This window comes from Homo sapiens, chromosome 1, assembly GCF_000001405.40.
Source record: "Homo sapiens chromosome 1, GRCh38.p14 Primary Assembly".
NCBI lineage: Eukaryota > Metazoa > Chordata > Mammalia > Primates > Hominidae > Homo > Homo sapiens.
The window spans coordinates 58564989-58578263 of record NC_000001.11 but is presented as its reverse complement, the minus strand read 5'-3'; the positions used below and the strand labels follow the sequence as shown (position 1 = coordinate 58578263).

The following is a 13275-nucleotide window of genomic DNA, read 5'->3' as shown; positions in this document are numbered from 1 at the left end:
GGCAGACAAGCAATTTCTCACAGGCTCCATTCTTTCATTATTTACATGGTTCAGCTACTTACGTGGGATACAGGAAAAGAAAAGCAACGATTTGCTGTGTTAGAATCAAATTGTACAAAAAACTCTTTACAGTCTTGCTGGCTCTTTAAGAATTTGTTCCTGTTTGTCTCTTTATAGCCAGTGCACAAATAAATATTATGTGCGTGTGTGCCTGTGTGTGTGCGCTTGTGTGAGGTACAGAAAATTAGTGTTTAACAGAACTTTTAACCCTCTGGACACCAGGATACCTGTGTTTTACCCTTGATATGGTGAGTAACAGAACTGCTTCCCTAACTTCCCTTCAGATTCTGTGTCACTTCGTGTCCACAAACACTTTATTTAAGGTCTCATCACTCCTAGGCAGGGTGCCAAAGACCCCTCTCAGAAATATGAGGAAGTTGATAGCAGTGTGACTTCAGGTCTTTAAGCCTCATCAGTACCACCTATAAAACGGGTCTGATAGTCCCTACCTGTCAGGACTGGTGTTAGGATGAGATAATGTTTGTGAACTGTAAACTATATAAACGTGTGCTACTGTGAGAACTGGACAAAGAAGAGAGGGAGTGAGAGAAATTAAGGGAGGGCTGGGGCTGGGAAAGAACGAAAAGGGAGTCGCGTATAGAGGAGAGCGCGACAGTCGCGAGCCACACTTTGCAATGAAACTCTTTAGACTTTCTGCCGGGAGAGCGGCCCAGACGCGCCAGGTCTGTAGCAGGAGGCCGCGCCGAGGGCGGGTCCCCAGAAGCCTACAGGTGAGTATCGGTTCTCCCCTTCCCGGCTTTCGGTCCGGAGGAGGCGGGAGCAGCTTCCCTGTTCTGATCCTATCGCGGGCGGCGCAGGGCCGGCTTGGCCTTCCGTGGGACGGGGAGGGGGGCGGGATGTGTCACCCAAATACCAGTGGGGACGGTCGGTGGTGGAACCAGCCGGGCAGGTCGGGTAGAGTATAAGAGCCGGAGGGAGCGGCCGGGCGGCAGACGCCTGCAGACCATCCCAGACGCCGGAGCCCGAGCCCCGACGAGTCCCCGCGCCTCATCCGCCCGCGTCCGGTCCGCGTTCCTCCGCCCCACCATGGCTCGGGGCCCCGGCCTCGCGCCGCCACCGCTGCGGCTGCCGCTGCTGCTGCTGGTGCTGGCGGCGGTGACCGGCCACACGGCCGCGCAGGACAACTGCACGTGTCCCACCAACAAGATGACCGTGTGCAGCCCCGACGGCCCCGGCGGCCGCTGCCAGTGCCGCGCGCTGGGCTCGGGCATGGCGGTCGACTGCTCCACGCTGACCTCCAAGTGTCTGCTGCTCAAGGCGCGCATGAGCGCCCCCAAGAACGCCCGCACGCTGGTGCGGCCGAGTGAGCACGCGCTCGTGGACAACGATGGCCTCTACGACCCCGACTGCGACCCCGAGGGCCGCTTCAAGGCGCGCCAGTGCAACCAGACGTCGGTGTGCTGGTGCGTGAACTCGGTGGGCGTGCGCCGCACGGACAAGGGCGACCTGAGCCTACGCTGCGATGAGCTGGTGCGCACCCACCACATCCTCATTGACCTGCGCCACCGCCCCACCGCCGGCGCCTTCAACCACTCAGACCTGGACGCCGAGCTGAGGCGGCTCTTCCGCGAGCGCTATCGGCTGCACCCCAAGTTCGTGGCGGCCGTGCACTACGAGCAGCCCACCATCCAGATCGAGCTGCGGCAGAACACGTCTCAGAAGGCCGCCGGTGACGTGGATATCGGCGATGCCGCCTACTACTTCGAGAGGGACATCAAGGGCGAGTCTCTATTCCAGGGCCGCGGCGGCCTGGACTTGCGCGTGCGCGGAGAACCCCTGCAGGTGGAGCGCACGCTCATCTATTACCTGGACGAGATTCCCCCGAAGTTCTCCATGAAGCGCCTCACCGCCGGCCTCATCGCCGTCATCGTGGTGGTCGTGGTGGCCCTCGTCGCCGGCATGGCCGTCCTGGTGATCACCAACCGGAGAAAGTCGGGGAAGTACAAGAAGGTGGAGATCAAGGAACTGGGGGAGTTGAGAAAGGAACCGAGCTTGTAGGTACCCGGCGGGGCAGGGGATGGGGTGGGGTACCGGATTTCGGTATCGTCCCAGACCCAAGTGAGTCACGCTTCCTGATTCCTCGGCGCAAAGGAGACGTTTATCCTTTCAAATTCCTGCCTTCCCCCTCCCTTTTGCGCACACACCAGGTTTAATAGATCCTGGCCTCAGGGTCTCCTTTCTTTCTCACTTCTGTCTTGAAGGAAGCATTTCTAAAATGTATCCCCTTTCGGTCCAACAACAGGAAACCTGACTGGGGCAGTGAAGGAAGGGATGGCATAGCGTTATGTGTAAAAAACAAGTATCTGTATGACAACCCGGGATCGTTTGCAAGTAACTGAATCCATTGCGACATTGTGAAGGCTTAAATGAGTTTAGATGGGAAATAGCGTTGTTATCGCCTTGGGTTTAAATTATTTGATGAGTTCCACTTGTATCATGGCCTACCCGAGGAGAAGAGGAGTTTGTTAACTGGGCCTATGTAGTAGCCTCATTTACCATCGTTTGTATTACTGACCACATATGCTTGTCACTGGGAAAGAAGCCTGTTTCAGCTGCCTGAACGCAGTTTGGATGTCTTTGAGGACAGACATTGCCCGGAAACTCAGTCTATTTATTCTTCAGCTTGCCCTTACTGCCACTGATATTGGTAATGTTCTTTTTTGTAAAATGTTTGTACATATGTTGTCTTTGATAATGTTGCTGTAATTTTTTAAAATAAAACACGAATTTAATAAAATATGGGAAAGGCACAAACCAGAAGTCGGCATTTGTGAAAAGTCCCTCCAGATTTCTATCACATTGGTCTCTAATTTCCCAAGACTTGTATTTTTTTTTTATTTCAAATTATAACACTTTTTTTTCCCCCAGAAGTGGGTGTTTCATGTTGCTACTCTGGTGTGTCCTAAGATATCCTAACTGGCCAGTGTAAATGCTATTCTTTCTAAATAAGATTATTTGGAAACTTCCTTCAAACTGCAGGAGGGTGAGCTTGAGGGAGGAAGCTAAAACTAGCTGCTTTTATGAAAAAGAGTGCCAGTCTTTGGTCATCTCTAAACAAGGCTTATCACCAATGGAGACAGAAAACTCTAGTTCAAGAGCTGTACCTCCTTTGAATCCCAGCCCTACTTTGAAATAAGTGGTACTATTTCCATTTAGCCTTTGAGCAAATCACTTAATCTCAAAGCGTTGTGGCTCTAAGATTAAACGACTTTCCCACATAATTAGAGCCAGTCTGCAGTGGGCCCTACACTTTTGCTGGGTGTGCACAGGCTGTTTTCCTAAGACTTTTACTTATTACATATATTTTTTGAGATGGAGTCTTGCTCTGTTGTCCAGGCTGCAGGGCAGTGGAGTGAGCTCAGCTCACTGCAACCTCCACCTCCTGGGTTCAAGCGATTCTCCTACCTCAGCCTCCTGAGTAACTGGGATTACAGGTGCCCACCACTATGCCCAACTAATTTTTGCATTTTTAGTAGAGATGGAGTTTCACCATGTTGGCCAGGCTGGTCTTGAACTCCTGCCCTCAGGTGATCCACCTGCGTCGGCCTCCCAAAGTGCTGGTATCATAGGTGTGAGCCACTGCACCCAGGGATTTTTACTATTAATGTGCTTTAAAGATATGTTTTACCTATTAGCTGTAAAAACTAGCCACTTGTCCCTCTTACACTTATCTCTTACTTTTCAGTCATTCACGTTCATTTATGTGTGTGACTGTGGGGTACCCCACAAGTAAACAAGTTACTACAGTAACTGAGAAACTGATACAACACTAGGTGTGTACAAAGGAAGGGAGTGGTTGGTATATCACATATTCAGCAACAGCTAAGCTAGATCCAGGACTGCAGTTTCTTCCCCTGGAATCCATTTCATGCCCCTCCTCCCATCCTGTTTCTACAGTCTATGAGGACCTCCCAAGACTGAAACACCAGTAAGAATTGGGGAGAGATAGCTCTCAGCTACTGGCTTCTCAACTTAGGGCTGTGGCTGCTATGCGCTGGTGGAGTGGATACTGTGGGATTGCCAGAGATCTCAAAGTCTGCTGCCACTCATCAAGGGAGAAACTCCTCCAGGCTCCAAACTTCCTTCCAGGGTCAAATAAGACTTACCAAGGGGAGAGGGTGGATGTGAGCAGGCTCTCCTACAGTAGGAAGGGTGGCCCAAGTACCTGAAGTTAGAACTGGCTCTCTAACAATGAGAGTGAGACTCCCCACTCTAGGTCTCACTGGGTGCTTTCCACTTCTGAGTCACTGAAGTGCTTTGACGGAAGTGACCTTGGTGATCACCTGTGACCTAACCCCGCATTTCACACATGAAAAGAGCAAGTGAATTCTCAAGATTAATGTTTCTGTAGCACAGCTGGAACCAGAAAGCCTCATTGTTTCAAGAGTCACTTTTAAAAACTCACTTGTCTGCCTGGAAAATAAAGGATCCAGTGGGCAACTGAACAAAGCAGACTCCCTGAAAAAGCCCCTTACTCCATCAGAATGTTGCTTCTGGATGATATTTAGGTTTCTGCATTAATTCAGGACTGTGACTTCTTGCACTTTATAGCATTTATAATTTGCAAAGCGTTTTCACACATATAATCTTCTTTGAGCCATTGACTTACTGGAAGTAACCCAAATGTTGACAAACCTGAGGTCAAATCTTATTCCTTTGGGTCAGGAAGTCACTTACCTCCCCTGTTTCCTCATTAGTTAAATGAAACTATAAATCCCTCTCTCGCTATTATGAATATTAAATGAAGTAATTGATATGAGCGTCTGAAACAATCTGGTGCTTAGTGAAAGTTTCATGTACTTTAAATTGTTTAGATTACATCCATGTCACATGTCAGCAAACTGAGATTTGAAAGACATTGAGTAAATTCATGAACACACACCCTGCATATACCAAATATGGGGCTTGGGACTTTTGCCTTGTGTAGCTAAGATTTTTACTGTTAATGTGCTTTAAAGATGTGTTTTACCTATTAGCTGTAAAAACTAGCCACATGTCTCCATTATACTTATTTCCTCCTGTTCCTGCTGGGTAGCCAGCAGGTTAAGATGCCTTTTTTTACTCACTTCTTCCAAGGAAGAGCCCCCTCATGCTTCTGTTCTGAAAATCAGCTTTCCTCTGCTGGGGTCGGGTCTTAAGAACCAGCTATCTTCAGGGATTGAGCAGCTGCCTCCAAGATTCCACCCACCTCCCCACCAAAAACAAACAAACAAACAAACAAAAAAATACCTTACAGTTCACTGGTTCACTGCCGAGAGCTCAGACCTGGGGCTGCCCTTGGAAGGAATGTGAGGAGCAGGTGTGGCTTGCCCAGCAAGTTGCAGCCTGCCTTCTGAGCCTCCTGAGGACACTTGACTGATTTCCTTGTGTAGGTCACCAGGGCTTTATCCATTCTGTTTCTTTTATTGAAGCATTTTTTTAAAGATCACCCATTCCTCCCTCTGCTTACAAATTTTTTGCTTACCATTTTCCAAGTGGAATCACAGAATGTTATGTCAGAGCTGGAAAAAGCTTAGAGAGTCATTTAGTTCAACATTCTGATTCTATAGATGAAGACACTGAAGCTCATAGAGGAGAATGGATTTACCCAAGTCAGACAGAGAGGGGCAGAGCCACCCTAGAGCTCTAACACCCTGACTCTATCCTGTCTGGTGTTCCACTTGCCTCCCTGGTTAGTCTCCTGATGATGTATTTAGTAAATAGTCACTCTTGTTAGAACTAGAGGAAGGTCCCCCAAGTTCTTGGGGGAAAAATACTAGTAATGAGTGAGTTCTTTCTAATGTAATGTGAACAGAACTTCCACTCCACTTTCTGAAGGAGATATCTCTCCATAGACTTCTGCTATTAGAGGAGGCTAGAACAACCTTGGAAGCCTCCTGTTTATATAAAACAAAGGACCCTTTGAGACCTGAGTAGATTTCCTTTACAATTACTAGCAGGTCGTGGTGGACATCTTCCAGCTGTAATTTCCCTCCTGGAACCATTCCCTGTCATTGCTAAATATCATTAGAGGTTTCATTATAGCCTTTTATAGTGAGCTCAAAGAAGGAATTGTTGGGAGGGATGGGGATGGATGGGGGGCTGGGCCCATTCACTATTAGGGAATTATACTGTAAACAGGGGGGTTGTGTCCCCTGGCACTGCAGCAAGCCATATGTCATCAATTTCAGTGGAAATTCTTAGGTTCATGATGTACAAGGAGGCCAAATTGATCTGGGTAAGAAGGGAAAGATAAATGATCCACAGTGATAGCCTGAACATGTTAACCAGCAGTTTATCAGCAGGCAGCTCAGCTTACCAAGGCATCTTGTCTCCTTGCAAGGAAAGGGATCTTGACTAGATAAGCATTAACTCCTTGGAATCCTTGTGCCCAGCTTTCTCCCATGCTGGATGTAGCTGATCTCTTAGGTGGCCTCAGCACTCTCCACTCCCTTGTTATCTGATACTGTTGGAGGAAATGTCCTGGCCACCCAAATATTTTTATGTGAAGCACATTGTCATATGCAATTGAAGCAACATAATACAGAAGGTGGGAAAAGGTACTAAACTATGCCAGCAGATGAGTCTTCAAGTCCTTGTTCTTGCTTTCCAGCTGTATTATCTTGAATATGGCAGTTCACCTCCCTGAACCTCACATTTGCATTATAAAATGGGTCTAGTAATATCCACTCACTCTAGCTCATAGAGCTCCTGGCTCCTCATCTGACCTCAGTGGGACTGGGGTGATCTCGACTAAGCAGCCAGTTTGACCAGTGTTGGCTCTAGCTGGAGTGCAAAGGCCCCAGTGATTGTGAGCAGTTACCCTGAAGCAGGCACAAGTTGGACAGTCTGTGTCCTCAGAGATGCCTAGCGTTGGTCATTTATTTGTTCCCTCAAATATTTTTTGTCTTATTTGATGCCAGATATCATACTAGTTTGGGGAACATATGAATTGAACAGATACGGTTTCTCTGCTGCTCTTTTTTTTCTTACTTGGCATCCCCACAATGTTTTCAATGGGGGAAACACCCACATTGTGTGAACCTTGATGGGAGGCCTGATGGTCCTGTTCCCTGGCAGGTGGGATATGGGCATGTGACATGGCTCAGCCAATTGAACTCTCCTGCCTGGGCAGAGACCTAGAGGATATGAAGCCATAGATCAGGACAATTGAGAAATTTTCTCAGAACAGTACTGGCTTTGTCAAGAGCACAGCTGTTCCATGGGTGCCAGTGTCCAGTGGCAGCAGCGTTGGTAGAATATCCCAATCGGATTGCCCCACAGCTTGACATTGGCCACATCCCCTGCTGCCTAGGCAACCTTAGGTCCTGTTCATTTTCTGGGTCTGATTCACCAGCCTTCCCACTGATTCTGTGAACTTAATCCAAATCCTCCAATAAATTCCTTTTATGCTTAAGTTTAGCCAGAATCCTTTTCTGTTGCTTACAGCCAAGAATCCTGACTGGTAGAGTCTCTGCCTTTAATGAACATAAAGACTACAGCATAGAGAGTCATTAACAACACAATCATGTAACTAAGGTGCAATTTAAAAATGAGATACGTGCTCTAAAGAAAAAAAAGCAAATATGAATGTTCTGACCTAGTCTTGGGGGAAGTCGGACCCTTAAGGAATTGATGCTTGATTTGAGATGTAAGGCATGAGCAGATGTTATTTATGCATGAAGAGAAGCATTTCAGTAAGGAAGAACAGCATGTGCAAAGGTCCTGAAGCAGCAGGAAGTGTGGATTATCTGAGGACCTGAGAGTAGACAAGAATGGGTGGATTGTGGGTAGCAAGAAGACTGGTGCTGCCTGTGACTGAGGAAGTGGGCTGGGAACAGACTATGGAAGGCCTTTCAAGCCTACTAAGTATTCTGACCTTTGTGCAAATGACACAAAGGGCACACCCCTTGTGCAGACAAGGTAGAAAAATGCTTCCTATCTAGTTGGACTTAACCCTGCAGTGCCAAATTTGGCAAATGGCCTGGTAGGTGCCTTTGTGTGAAGAAATAAGGGTCCTCTACTTTCCTATTGACATAACTTCACCCCCTCCCCTGTCAACAGCATAGAGAAATCCTTGAAAAAACTATTTGTTTTAAAGCAGGGGTGACATAAGCAGATTCATGTTCTGGAAAGATCACTCTGGCTGGAGTGTGGAGAATAGACTGAAAAGGAACAAGAATAGAGGCAAGGAAACCATAAAAGACCAGTAATAGGAGTATTTCAGGTGAAAGGTAAAGGTAGCTTGGGAATGCTAGGCGCAGTGGCTCACGCCTGTAATCCCAGCACTTTGGGAGGCTGGGGCAGGTGGATTACTTGAGGTTGGGAGTTCGAAACCAGCCTGACCAACATGGAGAAACCCCGTCTCTACTAAAAATACAAAATTAGCCAGGTGTGGTGGCACATGCCTGTAATCCCAGCTACCTGGGAGGCTGAGGCAGGATAATCACTTGAACTTGGGAGGCAGGAGGTTGCAGTGAGCTGAGATCGTGCCATTGCACTCCAGCCTGGGCAACAAGAGCGAAACCCCATCTCAAAAAAAAAAAAAGCAGCTTGGATGAGGGTCAGGAATAGAAAATAGTGATAATGATGGGGAGGAGTGGATGTACTGAAGGGATATTTCAGATATAAAATCAACAGGACTTGGGGATGGATTTTATATGGGGATTGTGAGGACAAGGGAAGTGTTAAGAATGGTTGTAGCTTTTGGCTTTCATAACTGGTTGGTGGCACTATTTTCTGAGAAAGGGAACACAGGGATGGGAACATGTTTGGTGTGAGGGAAATGACGAGGATGGTTTTGGATAGTTGAGTTCAGGCTTTCATCCAGAAGCTGACTATAGCAGTCTGGTGTTGTATGGGCTGGAGATGGGAATTTGGGAGGCACTGGTTTATAGGTAGTACTTAAAAGCCAGGGTTAGAAATTCAATTGTCTAGCAAAAGGTGATAGACTGAGAAGGGAAGAAAACTAGCAACATGCTTTAAAAGACTCCAGCACACCAGGACCAGAAAGATGAGAAAGCGTTGGCAAACGAAACCAAGAATGGTTAAAACCAGGGGTGGAGACTAAAAGACAAGCCCAGACTGCTACCAGGGGATAAAGGCCAAGTCAGAGGTCACGGGTGGCAGAGCAGTTTCTTCGCAGGGCGTGGAAGCATTGGTGGAAGCAAAGCCCTATACCAAGAGGAAGAAAGAGAGGGTTGGAGTAAACAAATTTGTGACACATTGTCACAAAGTGACAAATCTGTGAATGTGACATGGGAAACAGAAGTGATGAAAACTTGCTAGGTACAGCTTTACAAGTAACCAAGCTATTTGCTGGTCTGTGATCTTGGATCAAGTTACTTAACCTCCCTGTGCATTTTCCTCACTTGTAAAATGGGAACAATAGTATACCCACCTCCTCATAGGGTTGCTGAGAGAAGTAAATACATTAATGCAGGTAAAGCACTTAAACTGATGCCTGCACACAGTGAGCACTCCTAAATGTTAGCTATTGTTATGGTTATATGAAACTTGAACACGTGGTGTCCATTGCAAGCTCCATAAAGGAAGGAATTCCGGTTTCTGTTATTCACCTCTGTATTCCCAATGTCTCGCACAGTGCCTGGAGCATACTGGGTGTTCAATAATTAGTGCTGGTTGAATGGATGGATAGATGAGATGGGTGTAGATGTCTTCCAGAAGGGCTATCTCTGGTCTGGGAATTTAAACAGGGCCAAGTATGGCCCTTTGACAGCTGGGATTAACTGTTCAAGGATTAGATTTCATACATTTCTACCCATGTCTCACCACCTAAAATAATATTCAGAAGCAAAAGGAAGAAAAACAAAGCTACTTATAGCTCCACAAATATTTCTTAAGAAAAAGCAAAATGGAAGACGTTTAGATAACTTATGAGTCAAACAAATACAAAGCAATAAGCAAGAAAAACACAGCCAGCACAATATAACACTCGAAATTTTAATATGATAGCTTTACTATATAAAGAACATTTTTTGTGTTTTTTGAAACCAGGTCTCACTCTGCCCCCAGGCTGGAGTGCAGTGGCATGATCACCTTACTGCAGCCTCTGCCTCCTGGGTTCAAGCGATTATCCTGCCTCAGCCACCCCAGTAGCTGGGACTACAGGCATGCGCCACCATGCCTGGGTATTTGTATTTTTTTGTGGAGACAGGTTTCACCATGTTGCCCAGGCTGATCTCAAACTCTTCTGTTCAAGTGATTCACCTGCCTCAGCCTCCCAAAGTGCTGGGTTTACAGGTGTGAACCATCACACCCAGCTTATATAAAGAATTTAAACTCAAATTAATTAGAAACACAATTCGTCTAGTTAAGATCTCAGTTTGGTACTTTTGTGCAAATTAGAAAGGGCATCCTGTTTGCTCTGGGCAGACAAATTAGAAAAAGACAGTCCATCTAGTTGGACTCAGCCTTACAGTGCAGGGCTTGGCAAGTGCACCAGGTGGAGAGACACCTTTCAAAGAAGAAAAAGTGCTCCCTCCTCAGTGGAGGGTACACAGTTAGTGATCAGAGTCAGGCTTGATTTTGGCCCCCACTCCCTTGGCCTTGGTGCAGCACATACACAAAGCAAGCTTATGAGATGAATTTCAGTAGAAAAGGAACAAAGGTAATAAATAGACAATTCCTGGAGAGGAACTCGAAATACTAATAAACCTCTTTTTAAAAATATGTCTAACATCACTGGTAACCAAATGAGTTAAAAGCACAATGCTATGACAATTTTCCTTTGTGAAATTAATAAAACTGTTGTTTCTCAGTGCTGGTGAGGGGTATGTTAATTGGTATAACCTTTCTGGAAAACAAGTAGACAATATCTACCAAGAACATGTTTAGTTTTTCTGACTTTCTATTTCTATATCAAGGAATTTATCTTAAGGACATGAATAGTGATGCAAACAAGATTCACATGTATAACATGTTGCATGCAGCACTTTTTATAATAGTAAAAAGGTGAAAATAAATATCTAACTACAGGGGGATGATTATATAGGTTCACAACACCTTGAGATCTAGTGTGTTTCAGAATTCAGAAATGTTCGGATTTTAGAAGGATAATTTGGTGCATGATTTTAATCCCTTCAGCAGGGTCTGTGACAGCATCTCTAATCAATATATTTAGATTTCTGCCATGAAACATTAACAGTCACACTAAGTGGTATAAATAGACCATAAGCAGGCTTAGGTCACTTCAGGTCAGTTTTGCTGCCAAACTTTTAAAACAGCTCTTGGGTTTTCAGCTTTTTGGATTTGTGGTGTTGCGGCTCAGAAATCGATATCCCAAAATGCAGTGCTTTGTACATGCTAAACTGAAAAAGGAGCCTCAAGGTCTTTCTGACTTCTCTCTCCAGATCTGCCCCCCACCTCCATCTCTCTCAAAGCATGGGATAAAGTTGCTCTCCAAAGCTTCCTTATCTGCCTAAAGTCCAGACCTACCAAAGAAGAAAACAATTACCTCCAGTCCCTTCCTTAAGTTTTCATTAACTGAACCCATATCACAGGAAGGAAGACCAAAGTCTGTCAACAAACCTGGACAGACTTTTGTCACAAATCATCTTTCACTCTGTGGGCCCAATAGACCATTGTATGTTCTTCAAGCCCATTGACTTCTCCTCTTATAGCTGTTTTGCCAGGATCCAAGCCCCAAATTCTTTCTGAAGGCTCTCATTGTATATATGTTAAATACATTTGTATGCCTTTTGTCCAATTAATCAGGCTTTGTAAGCTGATTTTTCAGGGAACCTTCAGAGAGTGAAAAGGAGCTTCCCTTGTCCCCGACAGTGGATAAGGGATTGTGGATCTGTATACGTTACGGTATAATCCTTGAGGACTTTCTAACATGGGAAAATACTCACAATATACTGTTACGTGATGGGGGGAAAAGTAACAAAATTATAAAAAGACTCCATTTTTAAAAAATGGGAACAAACATTTTAAGTGCAAAATTTGTTGTTTTAAATCCAAATTGATTGTAACTGCTTTCATTTTCTCTTTTATTTTTTGTCTTTCTTTTTTTAAACTTCAAGGGAATGGTATAATTTTAATCAGTGGAGAAATCAATTGTTCTACTACACTCCCATTTTACTGCACTCTTCACCCTTTGAAAACCCTGCTAGGGTGGAGGAAAGGAAAACCTGCTCTCTCTAGGTGCCTCTCATTCGGTGAGGCAGAGTCTGAGCCTTCCTATATGCAAAGGGAAGGCCTTTGCTTGGGTGAGGGGCTAAAGATCCTTAACTGCTTTGCATAAAAACTTGGGCTTGGTGGTTGGAGCCTGGAGTCCCAGTTCCTGGGGAGGCTGAGGCAGGAGGGTCGCTTGAGCCCAGGAGTTCTGGGCTGCTGTGTGCTATGTTGATTGGATGACCACACCAAGTTCGACATCAATCTGGGGACCTCCTGGGATCGGGGAACCACTAGGTTGCCTAAGGAGGGGTGAACTGGCCCAGGTCAGAAATGGTGCAAATCAAAACTCTCATGCTGATCAGTAGAGGGATCGCGTGTTTGAGTAGACACTACATTCCAGCCTAGGCAACATGGCATGAATAGATACTACATTCCAGTCTAGGCAACATGGCAAAACTCAACTCCAACTCTTTTAAAAGGAAACAACAAAGAAGACATGGGAGAAAATGTTTTGGAATTGGATGGAGGCTGGGTGGTGAGGGGAAAGGAAGGGTCACTTGGCAGAAGATTGGACCATGAATTAGTACCCTGGGGCTTCCATAGAAAACTACTACAAACTCGGAGGCTTAAAATAACATAAATTAATTTCTTCCAGTCCTGGAAGCTAGAAGTTTGAAATCAAGGCTCTAGGGAAGAATCCTTCCTTGCATCCTCTAGCTTCTGGGGTTGTGGGAAGTCCTCGGACTGTGGCAGCATAACTCCAATCTCTGCTTTCTTCACATGGCTGTCTTCCCTCTGTGTGTATCTCTGTGTCCAAATTTTTGGCTTCTCATAAGGACACTACTCGCTGAATGAGGGCCCATCCTAATCCAGTATGAACTGATCTTAACTTGATTATGTCTGCAAAGACCCTATTTCCAATAGGATCACATATACAAGTTCCAGGTGAACATGAATTAGGGGAGGATACTATTCAAATAAGATCATGAAGTGGCTACATTATCTGGGATATATACCCCTGGGGTTCGTTGTTGCATGCCAGAAAAATTTAGGACATGGACACACAGGAGGCAT

At 45.7% G+C, this 13275-nt stretch overlaps 1 protein-coding gene and 1 pseudogene across 1 annotated transcript, besides 4 other annotated features; both read left to right on the top strand.

Annotated features, from left to right (window-relative positions):
- Positions 854-1548: an enhancer, noted in NCBI's record as "H3K27ac-H3K4me1 hESC enhancer chr1:59042388-59043082 (GRCh37/hg19 assembly coordinates)". NCBI's record gives its function as "activates a minimal SCP1, AML or CMV promoter by ChIP-STARR-seq in naive H9 embryonic stem cells {active_cell/tissue: H9 hESC(naive)}" and the evidence as "EXISTENCE:reporter gene assay evidence [ECO:0000049][PMID:30033119]".
- TACSTD2 (tumor associated calcium signal transducer 2) lies at positions 1012-2831 on the top strand. The gene has a single exon (NM_002353.3). It carries the CDS (start codon positions 1108-1110, stop codon positions 2077-2079), a length of 972 nt encoding a protein of 323 aa, NP_002344.2. The 5' UTR covers positions 1012-1107; the 3' UTR covers positions 2080-2831.
- Positions 1549-2244: an enhancer, noted in NCBI's record as "H3K27ac-H3K4me1 hESC enhancer chr1:59041692-59042387 (GRCh37/hg19 assembly coordinates)". NCBI's record gives its function as "activates a minimal SCP1, AML or CMV promoter by ChIP-STARR-seq in naive H9 embryonic stem cells {active_cell/tissue: H9 hESC(naive)}" and the evidence as "EXISTENCE:reporter gene assay evidence [ECO:0000049][PMID:30033119]".
- Positions 4095-4184: an enhancer, noted in NCBI's record as "active region_1085". NCBI's record gives its function as "activates an Ori minimal core promoter by ATAC-STARR-seq in GM12878 lymphoblastoid cells {active_cell/tissue: GM12878}" and the evidence as "EXISTENCE:reporter gene assay evidence [ECO:0000049][PMID:35858748]".
- Positions 4335-4534: an enhancer, noted in NCBI's record as "active region_1084". NCBI's record gives its function as "activates an Ori minimal core promoter by ATAC-STARR-seq in GM12878 lymphoblastoid cells {active_cell/tissue: GM12878}" and the evidence as "EXISTENCE:reporter gene assay evidence [ECO:0000049][PMID:35858748]".
- On the top strand, positions 12332-12633 carry RN7SL713P (RNA, 7SL, cytoplasmic 713, pseudogene; annotated as a pseudogene).